Below are 27,989 nucleotides of genomic sequence, written 5' to 3' on the forward strand. Positions count from 1 at the left end.
TTTTATGTTCTTCATGGTAATCTAGAATTTTTATTTGATTCCAGGTAACTTTGGACAATAGACATGATGAGATGTTTTCTCTTTGAATAAGTTAACAGTTTAATTACATTGAAATAAAATATACTGTGGGCTTAATACATTGTAAATATTACAGAAGAAGTACTACTTTGCTATAGTAATTTAATGACTGAAGCTACATTTAATAACAATCTTACCAGTACTTGTATACAAAGTATTATACAGATTACTAACGAAGATATTGCAGTGGTTGCAACGATGTTACCAGCTCAACAAACATCTAACAATACAATATTCTTCTAAGAGGAAAAGTAATAATGTTAGATTTACAGACAATAAAGAGTCATGTTTCCCGCTTGAAACATTGGAAATAAATTTGAATCCAGATACAAGAAAAGGTTTCCTTTCTTGGGAACTCTGATCCCCAGTAGGCCTAGTACAGTCAATTTACATGAAGATAGCTTTTAAGATGCCACGGCAATGTAAAGAAACTCTCCCATCCGAAAATTACTGATTTGTAGGCCACTGCTCAAACATCTGACTTTTTAGAAACCTATTTACATACATTCAGCCCAAATCAGTAGATAGAATGTTTTTTTCTATATTACAATAGGCATTGTTAACATTTCATCAGAAGGCCAGTGCAAGACAATTAATTGTTAATAGCCATTGCCCAGCATTTAGGAGATTTTAAAATATCATACAAATATACAGTTAGAGTGTGAGAAATCTAATTGTGTGCATGATATGGGTGGTCTCTTTTATGGACATGAAATGGCAGAAATTAATCAACAGGACAGTAACTATAGCGCTACTCATCCAGGGCCTAATTCTCATCTGGTGGTTGGGCCTATTTCCTGCAGAGTGGATTTAGGCAGCAAAAGGTCCTTGGCATTTAATACCAGATAGACTTAACTCAAAGTGCCAGAGAGGCTTGGAAATCATCTCAAGTGTAGGACAGATGTCTACAGCATCTCTCAGATTCATATCCTTTCACATATATTTCATACAAAATAAATCAGAGGTTCCTCTTGGAGGCAGCCCTACTTGTGCAAATGAAACATTCTAGGACTGATTCATCATGACTCTGATAAAAAAAAAATGAGCAGGTTGGGAATTTGGCCCTTTCTGAACATGTGTGATGGTAAAATGCATGGTCAGGGCAAGTACATCATCCTCAGAGGAAAGTAAGATACCTCTGATGTCAGACCTTATAAAACTTACTTAAATTTAAATCATTTAAATTAATGGATCTAATTATGGGGTTAATTAATGAGTGATATTAACAAATGGTAATTCTAATGAGTATATTCATTGGGGACAATGTTTTCGTCACTTGGGTTAAGAAATGATATGAAAAGTGTCAAAGTGAATCTAACTAGTTTTAAACCTTTTTAAATGAAGGTTGTATAACATACGTGATGATATTTCACAGATATTTCTTAGAATATCAATAAGCACCAAGTTTAGTGCTGTCAGCCCCATTGTCCCTTAATTTATTATATATGATTTAGATCTTGAAAGCACAACACACTATAAAATCTACACTGCATACGCACAAATGCAGTTTCAAAAATGAATCGTGAAATTTTTCTACCATAACAAGAATTTCTCTAGCTCTTCATAGCTGTGAAAAGAGCATTGGTACTGCCTGGTGAGCTCTGAAACATGTGGATTAATGTTCAAGATGATGCAGGACAAAAGACTGGCAATTCTTAAATGCAAACTAAACCCTGGTGAGTTCTTCTTGTAAATAATCTCTCCTGTCTTTAGAAAGAGATCTTACTAATCCTCTAGCACCCTGAGCCTTCATCTGCACATGACAGAGAGGTAAAGTAAGGGAGCCAGCAGGCAGATTCAAGGTGTGCAGACAGACAATGCAAAGTATCTCATAAGCCACATCCTGCCTTAGAGCGTGAACCGTAAGAAGGGGAACTGCCCCATCAGGCTGCTTGGGTATCTCGAGAGCTAGAAATCACCAGATAGATGCCAGCTCTGTACTTCACTTCAGACTATGTAAACCTTGGGGCCTTGTAGGAGTCATGTTTTATCTGTATAAGAAGAGATTATAATTAAAATTTGTCAGGGTTAAGTAGATTCTTCAGCAATATCATTCCTTACTGGAAAAAGGCCCAACAAGCACCCATGGCGCCATTAAGGAGCATGAGACCGGGGTGTAAGAAGAAAGCAGCTGTGTTTATCTTCATGCTTGAGTGTATCTTGCTAACCACGAGCAAAGGAGAGATTTGTTCCTTAGCCCAAACCTACCAAGACAGAGCTGGGTGCTCAGCTGTCACCAAGGGCATGTGGGCAAAGCACAGATACAGCATAGCTAGACGTCAATGCCAAGTGTATCGGTTCTTCACTGCCGTTGTGTGTCTCATCCACTGTCTGATTCAGCTTTTTTAGCCACATGGGCTGGGTGTGATAGTCCTACTTTAACGTGATGTATATAGTGCATACTATCTACACACGCTATTGAAAAATGTTACCATTGTTTTTCTGTAGAACTGTCTTCCTTTTAGTGACTGACATATTGCTCAATATTCGGTGCTCAGAAACCAAAGTACTCTCCTTTCCTGGCAATAACACTACAAATACATCCCTTCCTTGGATGCCTGTCATTATTTTTTGCTAAGCACTGGTCTTGTGTAATACCTAAAGGTCAATTTAGTAATACTTGATCCAATCTCTTAAGGAGGGATGGGGTGAAATTTTTGAATGGTTGGAGTCAGTATTTTTATCAACAAGATTACAGGAAGAACTCAATTTTAGAAACTGAATCCATGTGCAAGAGTGCAGCAAGTGGTAAAAGTTTATACTTGGTCACAGTTTTCTCACTTTATGACATTACTGTAACAGTTACAGGACAGAAACACACATACACACATTTATATTCACACTCACACACAGTATAATTTTACTGATCCAGACACTACTTCTTTTCAATTAAAAAAAATGAAGACTGTTGTTTGGCCACCCAGGCATGAAATCTACTTAAACCTGGAATATAGGAACACAATACTATTCAAGTAAACAGCAACTGCACAGTGATAACGATATACATTAAGATTAACACATGCTGTCTTAAGAGATCCAGTAATAGCTAAAGACTAAAGAAAGTCAGAGATGTCGCTCAAAAAAAGTCAATATGCTTTCTCTCTTCCATTCTGATTATAATCCATTAGAACAGCTATAGTCCAGAAGATAATGTGTCTTCCTATGAAAATGCAGGGCTAATAAATTTTTAAGTATGAATGAATTCTGCTCAATATTTTGAAGTCTTCAAATTCTTCTTGTTGAGGTAACAGAAAAATAAACCTTTACGGTTATTTCAGTGTCAAAATTAAATAGAGATATTTGAAGAAATATTAAGGTTTATTTCTAAAGTTATATCATGGGCAATAATATAGAAAAAAAGTGCACACATTGACACGTATCCACTGCTTGTCCATTGTTCTCATAAAAGTCTACCTTTCAGTTTTGCTGAACTAAACAAATATTAATAGCACATAAACACTGATACACATCTCACAGGACATAATACATTTTACAAAATATCTCTAGTACTATAACTTGTAAAAATGGACATCTCTGATACTACGGACAGTTACATTTCACATTATAGTGAAAGTTGTGGTTACAAAGGCATTATTCATTTGATGGCATTTTTCCATGGGTTCTTAGACTTCCAATTGTGTAGCCAAAGGTTTCCCTCCTATTTCATTGAGACTTTGAAGGATCGTTCAGTCACTTAAACAACAGGCTTTCTTCACTGTAAACCCCTGGAGAATGGAGTTTGAGTACCTAAACTATGGAAACATTAGCAAACTGATAAGTGATCATGGTGACAATCACCTTTTCATTGAGCATGGTAAAGTTAAAAAAATATAACCAAGGAGACAATAGACTCTTCTAGATTTTGAGCTTAAAAAAAAAAATTCTTTTCCTGTGCTGCCAGGGAGGCATCAGGCTCACAGAGCCTCGGCAGACGTGTCTGTGGACACAGACATGGTTACCTTGGCAATCTTGACCGTGCTCTTGATGCAGCTTTCTGCGGCCCTGTGAACACTGGCTGCATTGTTTGCGTGTTTGTGCAGGCAGTCCGAGTCCCCCATGCTGTTATCCAGAGGCTGCGCAGTGCCTTCACAAGAGGGAAACATGCTCCGGAAAGCGTGTCGCAGGTCCTTACTCCTCAGAGCATAGATGATGGGGTTCACGGTGGAGTTCAGCAGGCAGAGCATACTGCAGAATGCAAACACCGTCTTAATGAGCTTGTTCATCTTCCCAAAGACATCATACACCATGATTGCAAGCAGAGGGCCCCAGCAGATGATCAACACCACCAGGATCAGGACCAGGGTCTTGGCTAACCTAATGTCCATGCGGGCTTGGTCTGGCCGGGTCACCTGTACCTTCCCATCCTCAGACGTGTGGATGATGATGCTCTTCTGGGTGCCACGCTGAATCATGCGGACGGCGTGGCTGTGAGCCTTCCAGAGAATATACATGTACGCATACACGATGAACAGAAGCAGTACGCTGGTGACCCCGATCCAGAACATCAGGTAGGTTTCATCAATGTGTGGGAAAATGTCTGAGCAAACAGATTGCAGTTTCTCGCAGTTCCAGCCCAGGAGAGGCAGCACGGCGATCACAATGGCTATGGTCCACATCAGGCAAAACGCCACCACGGCCTTGGGCCTGGTGACAATCCTCTTATAGGCCAGGGGCCTGTGAATGGATATGTACCTGTCGATGGCTGTGAGGAACAGGCTGCCCACGGAGGCAGTGAAGGAGGCCGTGACCCCACCCAGTTTGAACAGAAACACGTTGCGGCTATCTTTGCGGTGGAACACGTGGAAGTCAATGAAGCTGTAGACAAAAATGACACTCCCCAGGAGGTCTGCCACCGCCAGGCTGCCGATGAAGTGGTAGGAAGGCCTGCAGCGGAGGCTGCGGGAGTGGAGGATGACGCACAGCACCAGGAGGTTCTCCAGGACCGTGAAGGTGCCCAGCGTGAGGGACAGGACTGCAATGGCCAGCTGCTGGCTGGGGTTCAGGACCATGAAACACTCTATGTCCATGAAGTTCTCCCCACACTGGATGTTCTCCTCATTCTCCTTGAAGGACGAGAGAGACTTGTTGTAAAATTCTGTAATGTTCACCTGGTCTGCTGGGACTAGCTGGGGGTTGTCTCCCGCAGTCATCTTCTCTTGGAAGGGACTTCCCCTAAAGGAAGTTAAAGGGAATTTCTGTGGGAAGTACCCTAATTTGGATGCCATGTCACCTTTGATGTCTTCGTACTGAATGTCATTTGAGCCCACGTACAGGAGGTCAGTGGTGATGGTGCGGAAGGTGGTATCTGCAAGGCCATCTAGGATCGACTTCATAACCTCAGTCTTTGATTAGGCTGAGCTCAAAATGACTGAGAAAGTGACCCACAGGGGGCAATCCTAAGAGGAGGGAAAACAAATAAGCCGAATGGTGAGAAACAGGAAGAATAAAAACAAAGAGACACTGTAAATGTGGCAAATGTACTGTCATGGCAACTCATTCCTGTCTCTGAACAGTAGGAGGTCAAGTTCTCATCAGATTCAGTCAACAAAATGAGTAAGTCACTCAGAGAAAAGCTCCCCAAAGTTCAGGGATGGCGTGGCACATGCCAGAAATGTATCACCTTTTCATTATTTAAACCCTCTGTATTGAAGTCAGTGTGTGAATCCAGGAAGGACCTCCAGGGCCAAGAAGACTGAACTAAATGAAATGTTTCTTGGGGACAATGTCCATTTCATAGTCACGTTAGGAAGTGTTTAGCACCTGGCTTCTCCTGTCACACACACATGGTATCCCAGTGCTGGTTGGGGCCGGCGAGAGCACTGATGTGTCACATGACCCCTACTCTTGGAGACTTCACCTTGTCAGACAAATGAGACTAAATGTAAAAGACAACCAAAGAATAAGACAGTGTAGAATCAAGTGATGAGTTGTGTGGTCTGTATGTTACTTGTAGCGGGGGAGGAGGGAGCTAGTGAGAACTGAGGAAGCTTGAGGCCATGTGGGGAGAGATGCTCCTCAAGACAAGTTTCTTCACCCAGAGAAGGGGAGGTCTGGACGGAGCCATGGCTGACATGACTTCTAGGATGTCCACATCAACCAAGAAAAATGTCACAAAGACCAAACTTGCAATGAGGCGTATAGGAAGACAGAGTTTTTTTTTTCTTTCTTTCTTTCTTTCTTTTTGATACAGAGTCTTGCTCTGCCACCAGGCTGGAGTGCAGTGGCACGATCTGGGCTCACTGCAGCCTCCACCTCCCCAGTTCAAGTGATTCTCCTGCCTCAGCCTCTTGAGTAGCTGGGACTACAGGTGCGCACCACCATGCCCGGCTAATTTTTGTATTTTTAGTAGAGACAGGGTTTCACCATATTGGTCGGGCTGGTCTCAAACTCTTGACCTCAGGTGATCCACCTGCCTCGGCCTCCCAAAGTGCTGGGATTACAGGTGTGAGCCACTGTGCCCGGCCAAGACTGAGCTTTTTCACAGCAGGGATATGGAGGAGGCCTCCTGATAGTCCCCTTCATGAGCAGGTTGGTGACACAAGTGTGCCTGGTGACAGGAGACAGGCTGGAGAGTGTCCAAGGATTTCCATGTGAACAGCTAAGAGGAAAGGCCCAAACTTTAAGGTTCTTCGATTCTAAGCTAAGCAATTTGGTTTTGTTTCAAAATAAACAGCCAGAGAACTGATCTTACTATTTATAAATTTTTGTTTAAAATGTGGGCTATTCATTTCTTTAGTTTATTTTTAAAAATTAGAAGTATAGAGTGATATCTATAACAATTAAAATAAGAATTAAAACAATATATTACTTGTTAATTGGCATTTGTTGTTCCTGAAACATATCACACTGTATGGGGTTGGGGGAGAGACAATCACTATTTCAGAACAAATTTTAAAAATGTTGAACTAACAATAAATGAGTTATTAATTCAGAGACCCTAATATCTGAATTAATAATTCATTTATTCATGTATTAACAAATTATGGAGCATCCACTATGCACTTGTATTATGTCTAGCTACGGTACTAGACACTAGTGTTGACAGCATCAAGAAAGAGTCCCTGCCCTTGGCCGGGCACAGTAGTTCATGCCTGTAATCCCAGCACTTTGGGAGGCTGAGGTGGGCATATCACGAAGTCAAGAGACTGAGACCATCCTGGCCAACATGGTGAAACCCCGTCTCTACTAAAAATAAAAAGAAATTTAAAAAAATTTTAAAAAAATTAGCTGGGCATGGTGGCACGCCTGTAATCCCTGCTACTCAGGAGGCTGAGGCAGGAGAATCGCTTGAACCCGGGAGGCGGAGGTTGCAGTGAGGCGAGATTATGCCACTGCACTCCAGTCTGGCAACAGAGCAACATTCTGTGAAAAAAAGAGTCCTTGCCCGCATGAAGGATATGATCTAGCAGAGGAGGCAGACAGCTGACTCAGAAATTAAAAGAAAGCATGGGGAGAGCTACAATTGGGGACGTACAGGATGCTCTGGGGACACCCAGTCTAGAGGGCTGAAGGAGGTTTCCCCAAGGAAAAGATATTTATGCTAAGAATAGGTAGCATCACTGTAGGTGGGGACAGGACACAGAGTCAATGAAAATAATTTTATTTAATACCCTAGTGTCATGATTCTTAAGAAAAGTAATTTGGAACAGGCATAAAGTGTTAAATGTGGCCCACCTTCCCACATTCTGCCACCTCCACTTCCAGGATCTCATCACTGCTCACCAGGGTTAGGGCGCCTGCTTTCTGACCAGTTTTCCTGCTCTTCTCTGGTCCTGTTCCTTTTTGATCACTTGCCACACAGCTGTGGGGGTAATCTTCATAAACGTATGCTGATTATGTGACTCCCCTCTTTCAATCTCTTTGCCCTAAAAACCAAATATAAACTTTCACGCAGTTTCCTTTTCAGGCCCAGGCCCTCCAGACATGTATGCAACTCTCGTCTGCCTTCTATGTTTCCATCCAGCTGAGCTCCTTTCCAATTCTGACCCTCAGGCTCTTGTCCTTAATACTCTCCACAACCTGTCTCCCTAAACAGGATGGCTTTCTATCTCCCACCTGCAGGATGAAGTCCAGTAAAAAGTTTCCTGTGATCTAGCTCCCGCCCACCTCTCCAATCTTCTTCTTGCCAGCCCTGGCCTTGCCACTTGGGCTACACCAGATGAATTTTAGTTCCATAAACACAGCAAATTGACTGCTCCTCACCTCAGTGCTGTTGCTCCCATTGCCCCTTACACTCCCGCCTGGTCAACTCCTCCCCATCACTTTGATGTCACTTCTTGCCATAGCTCCCTGCTTCCCATGGCGATGAACACCCTTTCTGGGCTCCCAGAATACCCAAACAGAGTTCTATCATGGTACTGACCAGATTTTCTAATACTTCTTTGTGTTTGCATCTGTTCCACTACTTCCTCCCACCCACTAGACAGTAAGTTCACTGAAGATCTTACTGGGGACTTTATCTTAGTATCTACTCAGCATTTAGTAGAATGCCTAACACACAGAAGAAGGCTCCAAATAAGCTGGTTGATTGGATATACGTATTTCAAAATAGAACAAAAACAAGAAGCTCTTTTCTACCCAAAGAAGGGGAAGGATTCTCCCAATGCTGATTAAAAAAAAAAAATGATCATGTAACTTGAATCAAGGGATCTAGCCTGGAGAGCTGCCCAATCCAATTGTGCTAGAAATATGCTCTATTTAGGTAAGGTTATTAGCATTTTAAATGAAGCTGCCTATATAATTATCTAGTCTAAACTCTCATGGAATGAGCTATATGCAATAAGCAACTTTGGCTACAGAGAGGCAAACAAGAATATTGGCAATGCCATACCAAATGGTGAACAGAGAAAGAGCCCTCAGCACTAATGTGACAGGTAAGCCAGAAGGCTCCCTTAGCTCCTCCATGGTTGTGTAACCCTTTTACAAGATCACTGTAGCCTGTGATGGCAGTAGGAGGCACTGCCAAACTGAGGGCCCCGAATCTCCCATGGGTAACTTCTATCATCACTAAGAAAATTGAGGGTTTTTTTTAGTCTGGGCTTCTGAACCAGTTCTGCACACCTTTCCTGCAACTGTCATAGAATAAAGCAGATGGGAGCCATCACCTACTGGACCAGAGGCAGGAGCTCTAAGGTACAAGCCACACAGAGGCACCCAGTGTGCTGGTACAGTCTGCTAACGCCAATCAAGTCAAGGCAGTGTCTCAGGGGCAAAGGCTAGTGGCTATAGAAATAAAGGATGCAGAAATAAAAGACCAAAGACCAACAGCCAAGCCAGTTGCCCAGTGCTTCTGGGCTCCTTTATCTAAAATATCTCCTGAGTTCCTACCCTCAGCCTGGCTCCAATGTTAACTCTCGAGTATCCTTAGTATCCTTAGGTTCCCTGTTCATCTGTCTGTCTGTCATATCTTTTCTCATATCCTCACCTCTTCTAGAACATGCTCTATATGTCCCACATTCGGCTATTTCTCAGGAGTCAACTCTTGCTCCTTGCAAACTTATGTTTGCTTAACAACTCCATTTACATATGGAAAGTTTTCATCCATAATCAAAGGGACACAGAAGACAGCCACAATGTGTGAGAGCTGTTCCTTACATGGTCCTTGCACATCCACAAACCTAACTTTTGCCTTTCGACTCCCACTCATACTTAAACACCAGGCTTACTGGCCCTGAGTGACTTGCTGCTCTTTGAATACACCGTCATACCTGCACACCTTCCTCCTTCACCTTGTCCCTTCTTTTATCTGGATAGAAGCTCTCTGCCTACTAAACTTATCTTTCCAGGTCTGTGCCAATGCTACTTCCATGTCTGAGACCTTCCTGACCAGCCCCTCCCACTAGGTATAACTAGTTCCCCAGCACATCCCTCTATTACAGGCCTCATCACGTCGTATAATCAGGAGTTCACATATTTATTTCCATAACTAGAATGAGATCTCCAAACACAGAGGCATCTTTTTTTCTTAAGTGGTTTACCAGCCTGATAGCATGATAGCAGGAGAGCAGACAGCTGAGTTCCCACAGAAATGTTCACCTGAACCTAATAAAATGGCAGTTGAATTTTTATTAGGTGGTACCTTAAAACAGTGATTTGCATTTGCCTTTTTCTTAAAATTAGAGGACAGAAAAAATAATTTATGCAATAGACATTTAGCCTGAAAACCAGAGTTTGAGCCTCCATCTCCAAGTAGCTCCTGTGAGCCATTCCAGTCATCTTCCCATTCCTTATGCCATCTTCCCTCAATTAACTAACTCCCCCTTTACACTTTCCAACTGGAAACTAGTTTATCAGAAATTTTGATTATCTTTATGTATTAGATTCACAAGATTTAAGATTCAAAAGGTACAGAAAGACATACAGAGAAAAGTCAATCTCTCTCATCCCTATATCCCAGCCACCTAGTTTTTTTTCTCAAAGGCAAGGAGTAAGTTTCTTGTTACCCCTTCCAGAGATACTCCATGCATATTCAAACAAATATATGTATTTACCCCCTCTTTGTTTTCTTTTTAGCAAACAGTAATTAACATTATTATACATACCTTTCTTTTCTTCTTAGAAGTACACATTGTGAACAGTTCCATATTCGTATATAAAACCTCTCTCTTCATTCAGCTGCCTTAAGGATCTGTTAGATGAATGTGACCAGCCTCCTACTGATGGAGGTTTAGGTTATCATCTTTTGCTATTAGAAATGATGCTGCAATAAATTGAATCCAACCACAGGTCACTCAGCAAGTCACTCAGGACCAGTAAGCCTGGTGTTTAAGTATGGGTGGGAGTTGAAAGGCAAAAGCTAGGTTTGTGGATGTGCCAGGACCATGTAAGGAACAGCTCTCTCATATATTGTGACTGTCTTCTGTGTCCCTTTGATTATGGATGAAAACTTTCATATGTAAATGGAGTTGTTTAGCAAACATAAGTTTGCAAGGAGCAAGAGTTGACTCCTGAGAACTTTTTCACATTTCTTATGGCATTGTGAGTAGTCTTTCTAGTCACCTAAGTTCCTAACTTGGACTTACTATGACACCTCCTCTTTCTTGACCTCTACAATCAGGTAGACCACTAAGTCTTGCTGATTTTCCTCTTTTAAGCATATAGAGAGAGCTTCTTATGGACTGGTGACACTGAGCCTATTACATATATATCAATTCCTTTATTTCACAATGGCCCTATGAAGTAGGTGCTATTATCCCCATTTTCAGAAGAAAGGCACAGAGGGTAAGTAAGTTGCTATAGGCAAAGCTAGTAAGTAGTAGAGCAAGCACTGCACCCAGATGAGAGCCACATTTCAAGTCCTTAATAGCTCCATGTGGTTAGTAGCTACTATACTGGACAGTGCAGGTCTAGGGCCCTTACTTGTAGCTTTTTTTGATACACCATCTCTCTAAGCTAAGACAGGGATATTACCATCTTCCTTGTTTTCTTCACTGATTCCAACCAGTCAAAGCACCTAGTCAATGGAATTAGGAGTTAGCAGACCAAGATTGGTGTTAGATGGTACTTGGGCAATCAGTCTTTCTAAGCCTCAGTATTTCATCTGTAAAATGGGGATGAGGATGATGACAATAATGCCTAAATCGCAGAACTGATCTGAAATTAGATGAAATTAAATGCATGTAAAACATAGTGCCTGACACAAAAGTAAGTCTTCAATGGGTATTATTATTATCATTACTTAGTATTATGGCTCTTTGCTATATACTATATACTAATTATATTGTAAGAATATATTATAATAATATAATACATACTAATTATATCTCAAGAATGCTCATTGCCTTAATTATTCAATCTTATTTTTGCCTCAGCACTTAAAACATGAAGCAAATAGTAGATATATATAGACATGGGTAAGGGATGGGGAACCTTTATTGAATGTCTGTTATATCCAGCCATTTGAGAAACTTTACATATATTCTATCATTAAATTGTCAAGGCAACCCTATCAGGTGCTTATTTATAATCCCCATTTCACAGATGAGGAAATGGAGGCCATCAGATGTTAAGTAAATTGCCTAGAATATGATGGATTTGCAGATGAATCGAAGTTTCTCAGACTCCACAGTCTGTTTTGAGATTTTATGTGACGATTTCAGAATTAACAGTAACTAGGTTAAAGCCATTTTGCATCTTATATTTAAGTCTTCTGGATTCTTAGAAATGTGGGAGGCTGAGGCAGGAGAATGGCGTGAACCCGGGAGGCGGAGCTTGCAGTGAGCCGAGATCCCGCCACTGCACTCCAGCCTGGGCGACAGAGCGAGACTCCGTCTCAAAAAAAAAAAAAAAAAAAAAAGAAATGTAAATTAAGGCATTTTGCCAATAGTAATTAAGACTACCTGCTACTAAATCCCTATTTCCTATCAAAGCTCATCTAGGTAAGTCTACCTACTTGCATGGACCTAAAGATTAAAATTTAGTCACTACTTGGAAGAGCTATAAAGCTTCTTCAGTGAAGACAAAGGATCACATATCTTATTCCAGTAATGCAAAAAACATGTTTCTGTGACTTACTTTAGATTAAGATCACCGCAAGTGTGATCACAACTTCCCATTTTAATGCAACCAAGCACTTTCATTAAAACAAACTAGCTTGTTAAAATCTAAGCTAGGGCATGGGTGTGGTTATATGATAACAGAGTAATTTCTGTCCAATATAAGCCAATTGAATTAAAGAATACAGTTAATAATATATGGATTTTATGTAGTTCAAAGATCTCAGTAATGTCGAAATACTACTGTGCACAGGCTATTTTAACAGTTAATGGGATCATGGCAGGAAAACTGCTCTCTGCATTTTGATAATTCTTTCCTTTATTTCTACATTTGGATTATTACAGTAATTTCCACCTTATTATTTTTTGCATCAACAACTTCCTTTGAGAGTTCATTACTAATACGGCTTAGGCTTTGGGGGATGTAGCTGCCATTAATTTTGTTTTTGTTTGCTACTAGGAAAATCATAATTGGAAATTTCTAGCAAGATGTATAGATGCACCTATTAAAGAAGCAGTTGGTTTTTATTACAGTTATAGTAAAAGAATGATTGAATGACATATAAGGGAATTTTCCTAGAATTCTGCTTTAAAAAATATAGCCAACATATTCTAACAGTGTAAGCTATATAAATCATGACTTCATAGTAAAGATAAAAATATCTTAATGTATTAAATCCATTATTTTTAAAAAATCACTCCAATTTTTAGACTATCATCTATTCTTTTTGTCTATTTCTCTGTATGCAAACCTGCCTCTCCACTACCTCCTTCCAAGAAAACCATATCTATCAGCTAGCAAGCTATGGTATCATCAAAGGAATTTTGTGAGTATGGCTGCTGCATAAAGTTGTTGTTTTTTTTAATGTTTATCCAGAGTCTTTATTTTTATTCGTATAACCACAAAGGGTTTAAAATGTCCATGTGTTCTAGGCTGAAAACACTGTAGAAGTATTGGAAGGACTGGTGCTCCCTGATATATTATAGACTGCTTTAACCCATCATACTCCTTCTCTGATATTCTAAGTTTCTAAGTGCTTTAAAGAGACAGTGCCTGGCACAGTGTCTACATTGACAGGAGTCCAGGATGTCAAATGCAGAAGTTCCAGTCCCTTGCTTAACTTGTTGTTTTTCCTACTTTGTTGGTTCTGTTGTTCACTTGGCTGGCCTCATAAAAGAACCTTGTGAAGAGTTCAAGAGAATGCAGCTTCCAGTGGATATATTTGTTGGTTATTTTCCATTCATTTCTGGGAACAAGTCTGTTTTCTACTAATTTGATCAAGAAAATACTGTGCTAATGTATTTCTCTAAAGTTAGTAGGGAAAATTTTAGTCGACTCTTATAACTGCATTATGTCTAAGTCATGCTGTCAATATACACGGCAGATGCCATAGGCCAACATCATAACTTGATGAATGATGTTTCCACTCCAGTTGAATGGGCAATGAGTCTTTTCTAACTCTTACCTAATCATTAGAGTTTTGGAATTATTAAAGAAGCTTGGTCACTTTTCCCTCATCTTCTACAGCAAAGTGAAATAACTGATTGACTTAATTATCCTGATAATTCAGGCAAAAATACATAATCTTTTTTCCTTATATTAATGTCAGCTCCTTTTCCTACATATGAAAGAAAATTCCATTATATTGGTAACACTCAATTGGCTCTCATACCTTCAGTTTTTCATATATTTTGTAACATAAAATAGAAGTTATTTAATGCACCATTTTCTCTAGTCTATTCTTTACTAACACTATATGTGTTATGTTTTTCATAAAAATATATCAATTGATATGAACTTAGGACATTGACTTATACGAGTGTAGTAGACTGTACTTCTGTTCAAATTTAATGTGAAATATGCCAAAGATTTCACATTTAGAGACTAGTTAAAACAATTTCAGGGCTCAAGAAAATGATGTCTTGCAACTTCATTGGGTTAGGAACTACGTGGTGATGATGCTAAGAAACAAAGCCTCTTGAATTAATGATACAAATAAAATCATTTGTTGATCTGTATAACAAATTCCATTTACTATTTAATTTTGCTCTTCTGTTTAGCTGTTTCCTCCAATTAAGAGTGCCTTGGCACTTTTCTTGAGAGAGAGATCTTTCTACATACTGGGTAAAGAAAGCAATTTTTTTTATTTTTTTATTTTTTGAGATGGAGTCTCGCTGTGTCACCCAGGCTGGAGTGCAGTGGTGTGATCTCAGATCACTGCAACCTCCACCTCCCGAATTCAAGTGATTCTCCTGCCTCAGCCTCCGAAGAAGCTTGGATTACAGGTGCATGCCACCACGCCTAGTTAATTTATATATTTTTAGTAGAGACAGTGTTTCACAATATTTGCTGGGCCGGCCTTGAACACCTGACCTCAAGTGATCCGCCCACCTCGGCCTCCCACAAGTGCTGGGATTACAGGCTTGAGCCACTGTGCCCGCCCAGAAAGCAATTATTAAAGCAGCCTTCCACTAACAGAGAACATACAAAGTTTTCAATTAAGTAAAAGCCATGGCCATATTCAAAATACTCTATAAAATTATCTTTATCTTGCATATGAGATTTGGTCATTAAAAGTGGAAGGTGATATATTATTCTGGTCCACAAAATGTGTAGAAACTAGTAAACAGGCTCTTACTTTTGCAGTTCATTATCAAGGAGTCCATAGCAACAGTGAAAAGTATGCTATATGATATCCAATTGCACAGCACACCTTTCACAGTTTCTTCTCTCTTCATCTATCAGTGAAGGCATATTTTCTCTTTGAGTCCATAATCATGCAAATTAACTCCAACTAAAAGCCAAGTCTTATTTCTCCAGATTCAAATCTGAGAGAATTTGGGTAAATGCACAATAGAGAAAATCCTAATTTCCAAATATTTTCATTTAAGAAACATTTAAACTTTTATTATATGCCAGTCATGGAAAAAATATATTATTTTTCCTTAATATTTACATGAAGTGGGTGCTATTACAATCTCTATTCCACACACTCAGAGAGAAAAATCCTTTACCCAAGGTCTCTAACTAGACAGGGCAGAGCTGGAAATTTGATCCAGGTCTGCATAATTCAAAGCCCCTGCTCTCAACACAGAGTTCCAAGAACCATTTAATAAGACACCCTTTCATTCATTTACAGGGAAGAAGAGTTGGTTTGGGAGAAGGTACACGTTATCTAATGTGTACATGATAATTTTATACAGTAAACAACTAAAATCTGAAGGAATGATCTGTTGACCAAAGCACTTGCAAGTCATCCTTGCTCCACGGTCTTCAGCAACAAAGTATGCCAATTAACTATAAGGTATAAATCCTAACTCTGCATTAGTACCTTGTTTGCAGTCACTGGTGCTAATGGCAGTAACTGGCAAATAAAACCTAAGTCATTTTTGCCACTATTTTGTAAGTAAGGGAAGGTGTTTTTTTGCTTCATTAGTCAATTGTCAGGAATATAGATGGTAATGACACTTTCCACAACACCAGTGAGACACGAATAGGGCACCTTCTTTAGGTCTGAATGAGACATGTTTATTAGTAAATGAAAGCTTCAAACATCCATTCCCTACATGGAGAAATTCAAACACTCAAAATCACCCAACTTCCCACCATGAGCCATGAGGTTTTCTTAGACCAGGGAGAAGAAGACTTTCTGTGGCCCATTCCTAAGTTCCTGGCTGGAATCAAGGTAGACAAATTATATAAACGTTGTACCATTTGTTGTTCCAACAAATGAGTGACCGTTACCATCTCCTGGTGCCCAATGGATGTAAAACTGCATTACTACAGCAATGTGGCTAATAGATATAAAGTTACAGGCCTTCAAATGCTTGATTTAACACATTTTTATTGGGCATACAGTCTGTGCCTAGGATTGTGGACATTATATTCCAAGATGTAACATTTTTCTGTGATAGATGACCCCCAAAATATATCCATGCTTCACACCCATGTAAGGGACATGGGTCAGGTCAAGAAAGCAAGGGAAATGGTTCTCCCCTCCACCCCTCCACCTCGAATACAGCCCACCCTTCTGTCTTCCTTTTCCTAGTTGAAAGAGTAGAATAGGTTATAAAAACATATAAAGGGAATATATTTAATCATCAGATAGTACTGGGCTGTGTGAATTCTCTTTCTCTACATGCTTTGAGATTTTCTCCCAGGAGAGGTGATGGGCATTGCTGAGCCATCCTGTAGTTGTCTTTATTGTGTCTAAACCCTTCAGACCATGAACACCTTGAGAGCTGGGAACTATCTTATAGGTCCTCTGCCTGGCACAGTGCCTGGCACAGAGTAGGTATTCAATACCTGTTTACTAAGTAAATGTTGGTATGCATCAGCAACATGGAAGATCCAACGTAACAGAACAGCTTTTAACCATGGACAGTTTTTTCTGGCATAAAGCCAGCTGATCATGAGGGCATTAAACCTGAATCTTGGTCTCATACAAACAACCATCTGAAAAAGTGTCCAAATGGGAAAATTATATTGAATCCATCAATTATTTACCCCAGGATGTCTTATTTCAGTATCACATAGAAATTATATTGATGGCAAGTGGAAGTTATGGGCACAGATCAGGTATTTACTTTTTATTCCAATCCTTGTTCAGCCTGAGTACATATTATGAACTGCAAAGTTCAGCCACTTAGCAATGACGTATCAAGAGTCTTTTGTGACATGCACAACCTTGAATGAATCTTAATTATATGCTGTTGATAGACCTTTAAAGACAATATATGAAATTACTATTATAATGGACTTTTTTTCTTCCCCTAAATGCACATTATTGTGCATTGATGTTTCCCAAATGGGTTTCTCCACTTGCGAGCGTGTTTCCAAAACTTCTCAAGAGAAGTCACGTGAAAATTCAACCACTAGATGGAGTGGCTTTTATAAGCCCTCAGGAATCAATTTGTTATTCTATTTGGTGGACATAGTTCTCGCTTTGGTTGAGCAACTTCTCCTCCTGCTACAACATTTTATGTATTTTACAACTGAATTAATTAAAATACAAATAGGAAAATATGTTATGGAGAGTTAAAATGGGTTATTACTACTGCCTATGAAAACTAAATTTCTAATTACTTTTCTGAGGCAAAAGGGCATTGAGAAAATTTAATATATTGATAAAAATTAATTTTGAATATCAGGAATTCTGCCTCAAGAAAGTAATTAAGAATGAGAAAAGGAAAGGAGTTCTACTTAAAACAAATATGTTTAAACCAAGAGATGTTAAAAGTAAGAGGGGTGGTCTCAGGAACCCACAATCAATATTAATAACCAACTCATTCTATTTTGTAAAACATTCAGCTTTCCAATTTCCAAATATGCAATAATCACTACTGGTCCTAACTCTGTGATGAAAAAGAACAGAAAATTAATCTCTATTATTGTAGGGACTAAAATGGAATATTTAACAAGAGAAATGAATCTTGCTTCAAATATTCATACAAATTGAGGACACAGTGACTTTCTAAATAATTCAATTTCCTTCCTATCATTCTCTCACTAAAATAATTTTAAATAAGTTTTTATTATTGCGTAAATCCGGGGTTTCCTTCAGACATTATTTTAAGAACTAGGTACTTATGTATCACCTACTTTAGTCGAAATGTTTAGGAAATTTTCAGTGTGTGCTAACAATGCAAGACATAAACAGAAAAATATGCTTTCAAGATGTAAATAATTACATACAAACAGAACTGGAAGAACGAGGTTTCAGTAGCAATGCAAAATATGCTCTGGAAATGTAGTTGTGATTAAGAAGTATGTATGCAAATTGGATGCAAGTGCAGAATTTTTATGCCATTGAAACCATGAGGCTGTTCTATTGTATTCATTCCGGATCGAGCCCTTCTTAGCGTTTGTGTGATACAATTAAGAATTAAGAGATTCCAGGAACTGAAAAGTGTTCAGAAAAAGTGATGTGAACATATTGAATTAGTAAATAAGACAGGTACCAACGGGCTGAAAATTATAATATACATCTGAAAGACCAGTCTGAGAAGTTACACAATGGTTTGTAAGTGCATGCAGGGTTAGTCTATAGGTCATTGGCTCTCAAAGGGTGGTCTCCCAACCAGAAGCATCAGCAGCATCTGGGAACTTACGAAAAACACAAATTCTCAGGATCCAGATCAGATCTATGGAAACAAAAACTCTAGGGTTGGGGTGCATCTCCATTCTTAGCAAGGCCTTTAGGAGGCTCTAGCACATTCTGACGTTTAAGAACCACTGTGAAAGATTATGGAGACATATGAAAAGGACTAAATGAGAAGGGGAAGTAGATTTAACCTTTAAGAAGAACTAAGGTTAGATAAGAAGAAAGAATATTCTGTAAGTATAGGTTTTTAGATCATTGAAACAGATTGCTACAGGAGCCAGCTCAAGATAAAATAACCTCCCACAGAAGATCTTTATAACTGAGGTATTCCTATTTGGAATAGAATAATGTCATTTAGCCAGAAAATAAGAATAAAGAGTGGAGAACCTCTCCAGTTTTTTTAGTCTACAATCCAGGGCTTCTCTGGACTTTTTCAGGAAACTTTTTTATGGATTTTGTCCAGCAAAGGAAAGTGGCTTCAAAATGTAATGTGTACTGATATAATACACAGATATATATTAAGAACTCCACACCATTTTCTCCTAATTCTATTTACAAAGGCTATGCAAAGCTTTATAGGGTTGCTAAGACATTTCCTTCACCACTACTGTGAAGGAACCCATGATTATTGAGCATAACAAGAAAAAAGTAAAAGTAATTAACATGTCAGCTTATTTCTTTCAAGCTGGAAATACTTGTTTCTGTTCTTCTTTTCCTCCAAACCATAAAATACTACATCTTAAGAGATGAACCCAGGAAAGAACGAACTAAAATGAAAATTTTGCTGTAGGCCCAAGTAATATGGATCTACTGCAAATTATTTTACAGAATTACTCTGGTAATTATGCAATTTACACTTTTCATAGTGGACCTATTTCAAAAATACCTAAAAGTTACAAATATTTAGAAATATATCCCAAGGCACTTAAATATATGACTCTGGGCAAACTGTTCTCTCTCTTAATTATTTCGTCAATAAAAATGGATCACAGATTACTCACAATTAGTTACTTTAGCTGAGGACTAAAATAATTCAAAGATTTCTCCTTTTTTGTTTATAAGACATTAGATCTCATTTCCAAAAGTAGCTGTGTATCTTCCAAAGTCAAATTCCCACATACGCAGAGACACAAAATTCTTTGGCCAATCTTGCACTTGTTTCAGTTATATGTTAAATTGTCTAGCTTTCGTTTTTCACATGCATACTGCCTGCTCACAACTTGTACAAAAGCTAAAGAAAACATTTAGCAAATTCTGGTAGCAATGCATTTCAATGAGCTGAAAATTGGATCCATTTAGCCAAACGCCATGGAATAAACCAAAATACTCAGATCATAGTGGCATTAAGTCCCTCATATAAAGAATAAATAAATTTGATTAATTTTTAAATATAGCTGAGTTAAAAGCAAACACAAGTGACAAAGGTCTAGTACCTAAATGATCTTTTTTTTTTTAAAGATCAACCATTATATTGGTTAACTTGCTATATTAAAAACATCATTTTTAGGCCAGGCACGGTAGCACACGCCTGTAATCCCAGCACTTTGGGAGGCTGAGGCAGGCGGATCACTTGAGATCAGGAGTTCAAGACCAGCGTGGCCAACATGGTGAAACCCCGTCTGCACGAAAAATACAAAAATTAGCCGGGCATGGTAGCATGAGAATCGCTTGAACCCAGGAAGCGGAGGCTGCAGTGAGCCGAGATTGTGCCATTGCACTCCAGCCTGGGTCAACAGTGAGACTCTATTTCAAAATAAATTAATTAAAAATAAATAAATAAAAACATCATTTTTAGCTTTTTGACCCGAAGAAATCAATGTTATGAATTACCTAGTACAAACGTCCATATAAGTAGAAATTTATTTAAAACAAACTTAAAAAATTTTTTTTCTTTTCTTTTTTTTTTTTTTTTTGAGGCAGAGTCTCACTCTGTCACCCAGGCTGGAGTGCTGTGGAGTGATCTTGGCTCACTGCAACCTCTGTCCCCTGGGTGCAAGCAATTCTCCCACTTCAACCTCCCGAGTAGCTGGGATTACAGGCACATGCCACCATGCCCGGCTAATTTTTGTGTTTTTAGTAGAGAAGGGGTTTCACCACGTTGGCCAGGCTGGCCTCGAACTCCTGACCTCAAGTGATCCACCTGCCTTGGCCTCCCAAAGTGCTGGGATTGCAGGCGTGAGCTACCGCGCCTGGACTAGAATTTGTTTTTTCAAAAGCATATTAGAATTTATCGCTAGCTTGAATGTAATACTCCTTAAAACTTCACTCAATTTTCAGGACTCATATTGATTCCAATTTTCTTCTCTAAAGTTATGATCTAAAAGAATGAATAAAGAAATGGTGAAGGAAAGAGGGGGACCCTCTCATTTAAACATAAATTTTGAAAAACATAATTTCCTAATTAATTAAGAATCCAAATAAGAGTGGAAAAATAAGACATTAAGTAGTAAAATATTGTATTTTAGGGCAAATTTATTTGCCTTTTGTGTTGAGAGAAAAGGCAAACTAAATTCTTGCATTCAAAAAAATGCAAAATGTACTTTTGAAAACATTCAAAAATATAGAATATTATGCAATAGCACAATGGGTTAAAAAAGAATTTGCTCAAAAATAATGATTTCCATCTAACCAGTCTCTACATATTCAAAAACAAAAGAAAACAAAGCAAAGAAAGCAAAACTTTGAAAGCTTTCTTAAAGTGCAGGTGTGAACATTTCTCCAGCTGGGGCTCAAATACAATTCATAGTATTCCCAGAACAACTGCAATGACTCTGCCATGCCCATTTGCTCGGGTTTTGGGAGTAAACAATTCTTCCCTCAAAAACCCATACAAACTATGAACCTCGAGAATTCCATGGTGATTAAGTTATTAGCTTAACCTGTCCAAGTGAAACTTAAATTAGAGGCTGTCCATTATTAATTCATCTATATGGAAAATACTTCAAATATATGGAAAATATCAATGGAAACTAGATCAAGAATATATACATGCAACTAACTGTCCTCTAAACTATTATAAAAAATATACTTTTTTTCATTATGGGGCCTTGTTAAATCAAGAAATATAATCCAGGAAAGCTTTTAGTAAATACTTTGATAAGAACTAAAGATAACTACACTACTTTATGTCATGACTTTGACCTCTTATTAGCAATATGTATTAAACATGCCATGTGAGCAAGTTTGAGATGGAAGTTGCTTGCTCTCACATCAAACAATTTCAAAAGCAGCAAGAGAGGTGACAGCGTCTACTAAAAATCACCCACCTTACAAACCTGCCCCCCTAACAAATTTCCTATAGTTTTAACTCACTTGTGGTAACGTTGTAATGTGTTATATATAAAAACTATAACTATCTTAATATGCATTCTGAGATATGGTAATAACCTTCTGTATTTTCCTCCAACTTGTACAGCCCTAATTTCCAAAAAATAATAAACAACTAAAAGGATTGGCTAAAAAGAAACTGTCTTAAACCCATCAGTGTTTATGATAAAATTATAATCAAATGTGGTGATGTTCACCCTGGCATACTTGCAAGATTCTTAGAACGCATGGGACTGGCACGGATTTCCACCTATCCTGGAAAACAAGAATGGCCTCGTTTCCATTCAAGGTGGATATCTGCTTTAACTCTTCAGTGTCCATCTGCACAGCTGCTTTGAATGCGGACATTTCCCCAAATTTGTAGTATTTATTTAAAATCAGAATTACATGTTCAAATGTATAAAGGCAACATATTTAAATTTTTATTTCAGTCATGATTTACATCTATAAAAATGTTTATACATGTAAATAAAAGTGTGTTTCTATGTCCAGGTGTCCAAAATTACGCAATATATACTTTGATATTATACATATATTCTGGGTGAAGTTACTGTTTCTTTTAATCCAGGAAACATTTTGGAGAAATCTGAATTTATAAAGTCAATCCAATCTAATCTAAGAATATACAGAGAATTAAATGCTTATCAAAGTATTAACTAGCAATTCAGTGGCAAAAAGTTGAATCCCCCAAGTCCCCAAAAGCAGCATTCATGCAGCCATAATATAAAGTTACCATTTCTCTGAGGATAAGATTAGGAAAGAACTGGAGATTCAGGGAAGAAAACATGAAGTTAAAATTTTGGCAACACAAAGTATATAAACTGATTTTGATTTCCTCTTATTCTTTGACTTCTCTACCAGTCTTCAGTATATAAGAGAAAAATCAGCAAAGCAGGCTGCCTCTCAAAATACAGATATGCAGTATGTAAACCTGGCCCTAGCACAGTGTTTCAAACAATGTTGGGTCCACATTGTTTTAGAGCCAACAGCAGAATTATAAATAATTTAAACCCAAAGCCTGGTTTCACTCTAACTATTTGTCAGTTCAATTAGAAAATGATAAATACAAAAATAGAAGAAACAGACTTACACTGGTGGAGGCATGGCATCCTTTTCAGCAGGGAATGAAAGCTCTCATCTATGTTCTTTATGCAACTGAGCTAACATGGAATTTGGTAAGTAAGATGGAGCCTGTCCTTTAGGTTACTGCCTGTTATCATGCTTTAATTGCTTTAATTAGCATTTAATTCACTGTATATTCTTAGATTAGACTGGATTAACTTTATAACATAGATCAATTCAGACTTCTCCAAAATATTTCCTGGAATAAAAGAAGCAATAACTTTCACCCAGAATTCTTATAAATTCAAGAAGCTATAACCAAATCTTTCATTTTGCTAGTTATGTGTCATTAGGTATTTTCCAATTCAATTTGTTACTCTTGTTTTTGCAGCATTCCTGGATAGCTAGTTATGGGAAATAATCCCTTATTTGGCCAACTGTTTTCTGGTAAGAAACATTTGGTAAGCGTGGTGAACTATAAACTGCTATTAGAAGTTCCATCTCATAATAGTTTATTCTTACATAGCAAAGTATTTGATTTCTAATTCCAAACACTAATATGCAAGACAACCAAGAAGCCTGTCTAAATTTCCCCGTGGTTAATGTTAATTTTGAGTCAAAGCAAAGAACAGTGTTATACGACTGTTTTGAAACAGTTTCTCAGGCTTTGCCTTAGTAATTAATAAGCTGACACTGCATACTAAACACTTATCAACACAATCAATGGGGCTGCTTCCTTCTTGGGAAAATAGGTAAACCGAATCAAAGAGTTTTCTTTTGGAAGAGGCTGAAATATGCCACAAATACAGTGGTTCTTTTTGAGAATTTCATTCCCAGCAGTTTCATCTTGGTAACATTTAACAATTTCACTATTTTACCATTTTGAAATGCCAAAAAGAACACACTGATCCTGCAGCTAGGCTTATTAGAGAAGAGCAATCTCACAGGCAAGACAGAGAGGAACATGGTCCACTGGGAAATGGGTAACAGAAAAAGACAGAAAACAGTGGATAACAAACAAAGCCAAGCACTACTTCAATGTGAGACCTGGTGTTCATCAGAATTTAAAACTTTACACACTAAATAATAATCACTTATGGCTTATTTAAGGTTCTAGTCATAACATTCTTTTTACATACATATATTAATGTTATTAAAATTCAGGGGCATGAATATCTAATTTGCTTTCCTAACAACGAGTATGCAAGCACAGTAATTTTATTTGTGAAAGGCCAGAATTGGGTATTTCCACCTTGTGGCATCATTGTACCCCCATGGACACTGAGAAACACAATGAGACCTCTCCCCATCAGACACTTGATACATACCTCAGCCAAGAGCGCTCCTCGCCTGGAGTGGGAGACATCTTTGAAACAAAAAGAGTCGGTTTACAGTAAGTTCTCCTGATAAGCTAAAATGGATTAGTTTTTTAAAACCATGTCCCACATCAAGTCTCTTGCCCCACTATGGTAACTGCCATTGTGCCTACAAATAAGTGCCTGTAGTATGCAATGTTTAAAATTCTGGAGGTGCATGTCTTCTGCTCATGTATGGATATAATCTGAAAGTAATTTGTCTCACTTAAGAAACTATAAATGGCCTTTTATTTTTATAAAATTGCTCTTAACTGAGTTAGAGAGCGGGGGAGGGGGAGGAGTACCAGGGAAAAAAAGGACAGAGAAAAATCAATTAGTGTATCTTCCCTTGCAAACTGTCAGTAGGGTAGGATTAGAAAAGCAACACTTTAAATCACATAAAGTCCTATGGGAACCTTAAAGGTTGGTTGCTCTGAGCTTCTCAATATTCTGCAAAATAGATTGATGTCAGTGGTGACCCCACTAATACTCAGTGTCCGCTAAGCTTCCTCTAAGAAATTGCATTTCCCCCATTGTTCAAAAGATATTAACTTGGTAATAAAAATGAGGAGAAGTTATGGGACCCACAGAGATATCTTTCAACACCTTTAAAACCAGTAAATCTGTTCTAATCTCTTATTGGATTACATGCCCGAGGAGGCTTACTATATCAGGAAATCAACAACAAAGGCAAGAATAGCACTTATTTGGAGGAAAATAAAAAAAGATGGGAGGCAAAATGATTAATACGTTACTAAACATTTCTTTTGTTTTTTTATCTGTTCAATTTTAAATATCTGAGAGACAATCTATTAAAATCAGAAACATGCATGTTGCTTTTAAACTTCCAAATGACCAAATGACAGTTTCTCATGTCTATTACAGCAAACATATTTTTATTTGAGAGGTGATCCGTTTATGATTTGTAAGCCTTAACAAGAAATGTCTTTTAAAAATGCAACATTAACTTTAGTCATCTAACAGCTAGTTCTGAGTTAAACGGTTCCATCAACATTCAATTTTAGGTATTAGTTACATGGACATTTGTTTTTCCTCAAAGAGAAGTGGTTCCTGTAGCTTTTTATCAAAAGTTTATTATTTGACATACATCTCTTTATATGACATTTACTATTTTACATTAGTCAGTTTCTAGGCTTGCAGCAGAGATCGATGTATTTCCCTGGGAAGACTTAGCTGCTAACATGGTTTATAGGCATTCAGCACCAACTCAAGCGCCCGTTTTTCAAACATGCACAATTACCCATTTTCTACAAACAGACATCAGTGCATACAGAGCCAGGTGCACACACATTCAATAAATAGTAAATGGTAGAAATCTCCAGAAGTAGAACAGATCACAGTTAACAGGCTGGGGCCATACAGCTAAGTAAACACCGACGCACGATTCGCTCACACGGAATAAGAACTCCACGAAGGACACTTGGGGACCACACTGGTCGTACCCGAGGGGGCGGGAGGCGGAAAAAGTATTTCCAAACGCAACTCTGCCAGGTCTTACCCTTCGCATCCCCTGGTCCTCGGGACAGAAGCTCCCTTGGCACCTCTCGCCCAGCTCAGGGGCTGGTTGTCCGCTAGAACGAAATATCCCCCACTGACTACGGAGAGCTCTGCAGGGAGCCGAGGCCCCCGCCCGGGCCAAGGGAAGGCGCTGGCGCCGCGGGAGACAAGAAGAGGCGGAGGCGGAAAAGAAGTGGAGAAGGAAGGGGTGGCAGAGGGAGTAGCGTGCGGGAGGCGGCGCCGGCGCCGGGCTGCTGGCGAGGCGGGGTGGGGTGGAGTGGGGTGTGCCTCCGGCGGGCGGTCAGCAAGTCAGTCCGTCCGAGCGCCGGCGTCCCGGTCTCCAGCGCCCGCCCGCGACAGCGACCGGGACTGGCGCCCCGCTGCTCCGACCGCCGGCGAGCCTCGCCCCTTCCCAGGCTCTTCACTGGGTCCTCCCGCGAGCCCCGCCTGGCCCGGCGTGGGGCCGCCCGTCTCCGCCAGCCCGGGCGCCCGTCGCCTCGTCCCGCTCGCGCAGTCCCTGCCGCTCCCTCCGCTCGCGCTGTCTCTGGCTCCCTCTCGCTCCAGTCCCATTTATGAAGCGCGGTCCCATCACGTGTTAATGAGCCTTTGTCCTGCCCTGGCAGCGGCGGCGGCACAGACCCCGCCGAGGGAACTGCGCGGGGAGGGACCTGAGCGCAGCGCCCGTAGCCCCAAACTTTGCTTGGGGCGGGGGACCCGCCGCGGCGCCAGCCCTGGGGCCAGAGGGGACAAGCCTCTTCGGCCCGCGTCACCTACTTCTCCTCTTCCTCCTCCTCCTCCGCCGCCGCGCTCCCGGAGGCCCCCGCTGCCATGACCTCGCTGTGCTCCCGGATACCCTCACACCCTGACCAGGCCAAGAAGGGGCTGGTGCATGCGCCGCCCACGACCTCGGGGCCATTAATCACACGCTCCCGGGCAGCGCGCATCGCCAACACCTTCCGCGGGGGTCACGTCTGGGGCAGCGGGCTGAGCCGGAAGGGGAAGGGGAGCGGGAGCCCAGAGGCCGAGGCGCGCCGGGCCCGGGGGTGCGGTCTCGCGCCCCCTCCCTCCGCGCAAGGCCGCTCCCGTGGCAGGCGGCAGCGAGCTGGGCCCGGGGCCGGGCTGAGCTTTGGGACCGCGCTGCGCAGCCCCCGAGCCGTTCGCTACCTGGCTGCGGTCGCGCGGCCACCTGTCCTCCGCCCTCGGGGCGCCGCCCAGCTTCGCGCCAGGCGCCTTCTCCAGCGCCCGCCGCCCTTTCCCGGCGAGACCACTCGGGCGCGCCCCGCCCGCCGGTCCCCGATGCAAACAGTTGGGCTCCGTAGGCGGCTGGCTCCGCGCCTCCCGGCCCGGCGCGCCCCCTCCCCGGCCACCCGGGGCCCCGCTCCTCGCACCTTTTCGCTGGAGGAGGACGCCCCACTCCAGGGCCGGACTGGGGGCTCTGGGACTCGGGGGCGGCAGCGGCGGGCGCCTGGGGAGCCGCGGTGTGCTCAGCAGCCGCGGCAGGAATTAGGGGACATGCTCGTTAATTGTTTCCACTATCAGCCGCCGTCTGCCTCCTGTGTGCACGGATCAAACCTTAATTGGTCTTTACATTTATCATGGTGAATTGCGAACCTCCAAACAAGCCTGGGCCGCCGCTTCTGCCGAGGAGGCGCTCCCCTCCCCTCCGCCCCCGGGGCCCTGCAGGGTGTGCGGCGGCGGTCGTGGTTATTTAGACATCTTTATCTCTCGTGAGTTGGATCGGGAGAGGATCGCACGGTTTCCACCTGACGGAGCCACGTCACGTCGGCCACAAGGGCCCCGTGCTGGGCGCTGGGTTCGGTTCCCGGCCGTCCTCTTGTGGCCGCCTTGGCGTTCATTTTATGACACCTTGCCGGTGTTCCCAGACATCATCCCGCACCGCTCCGTTTTACCGACCTCCAGGTCTTCCCGCCCCTGATCAGACCCCAACAGCAACCGTACTATATCTGGACCCTATATTTGAACTACGTGGTGAGAATCTGTGAAAGCGAGCCTCTCAGGGAAAGAAGGAAGATTGTTGAGTTCAAGGTCCT

General features: G+C 40.7%; 1 protein-coding gene across 20 annotated transcripts, besides 4 other annotated features; it reads right to left on the minus strand.

The window, feature by feature from the left end:
* CNR1 (cannabinoid receptor 1) lies at positions 1-27,486 on the minus strand. 20 transcript variants are annotated; one of them, XM_047418171.1, is made up of 5 exons: positions 25,940-26,484; positions 24,394-24,431; positions 10,620-10,777; positions 7,801-7,943; positions 1-5,474 (listed from the first exon to the last, which is right to left on the minus strand). In XM_047418171.1, exon 5 carries the CDS (start codon positions 5,409-5,411, stop codon positions 3,993-3,995), a length of 1,419 nt encoding a protein of 472 aa, XP_047274127.1. In that variant the 5' UTR covers positions 5,412-5,474; positions 7,801-7,943; positions 10,620-10,777; positions 24,394-24,431; positions 25,940-26,484; the 3' UTR covers positions 1-3,992. The 20 variants fall into 20 exon arrangements, with proteins under 20 accessions (XP_047274127.1, NP_001352801.1, NP_001411023.1 ...); NM_001365872.2 differs by having other exon boundaries at positions 7,753-7,943; NM_001424094.1 differs by lacking the exons at positions 10,620-10,777; positions 25,940-26,484 and adding an exon at positions 27,327-27,486.
* Positions 1,805-1,964: a silencer, noted in NCBI's record as "silent region_17377". NCBI's record gives its function as "represses an Ori minimal core promoter by ATAC-STARR-seq in GM12878 lymphoblastoid cells {active_cell/tissue: GM12878}" and the evidence as "EXISTENCE:reporter gene assay evidence [ECO:0000049][PMID:35858748]".
* Positions 26,161-26,840: a silencer, noted in NCBI's record as "silent region_17378". NCBI's record gives its function as "represses an Ori minimal core promoter by ATAC-STARR-seq in GM12878 lymphoblastoid cells {active_cell/tissue: GM12878}" and the evidence as "EXISTENCE:reporter gene assay evidence [ECO:0000049][PMID:35858748]".
* Positions 26,901-27,340: a silencer, noted in NCBI's record as "silent region_17379". NCBI's record gives its function as "represses an Ori minimal core promoter by ATAC-STARR-seq in GM12878 lymphoblastoid cells {active_cell/tissue: GM12878}" and the evidence as "EXISTENCE:reporter gene assay evidence [ECO:0000049][PMID:35858748]".
* Positions 27,411-27,610: a silencer, noted in NCBI's record as "silent region_17380". NCBI's record gives its function as "represses an Ori minimal core promoter by ATAC-STARR-seq in GM12878 lymphoblastoid cells {active_cell/tissue: GM12878}" and the evidence as "EXISTENCE:reporter gene assay evidence [ECO:0000049][PMID:35858748]".

The sequence above is a fragment of the Homo sapiens genome, chromosome 6 (genome assembly GCF_000001405.40).
Source record: "Homo sapiens chromosome 6, GRCh38.p14 Primary Assembly".
NCBI lineage: Eukaryota > Metazoa > Chordata > Mammalia > Primates > Hominidae > Homo > Homo sapiens.

What these genes read in the sequence shown, in the direction of transcription:
- CNR1 (NM_001370546.1), bottom strand. Translation starts at nt 5,411, where the DNA reads ATGAAGTCGATCCTAGATGGCCTTGCAGATACCACCTTCCGCACCATC.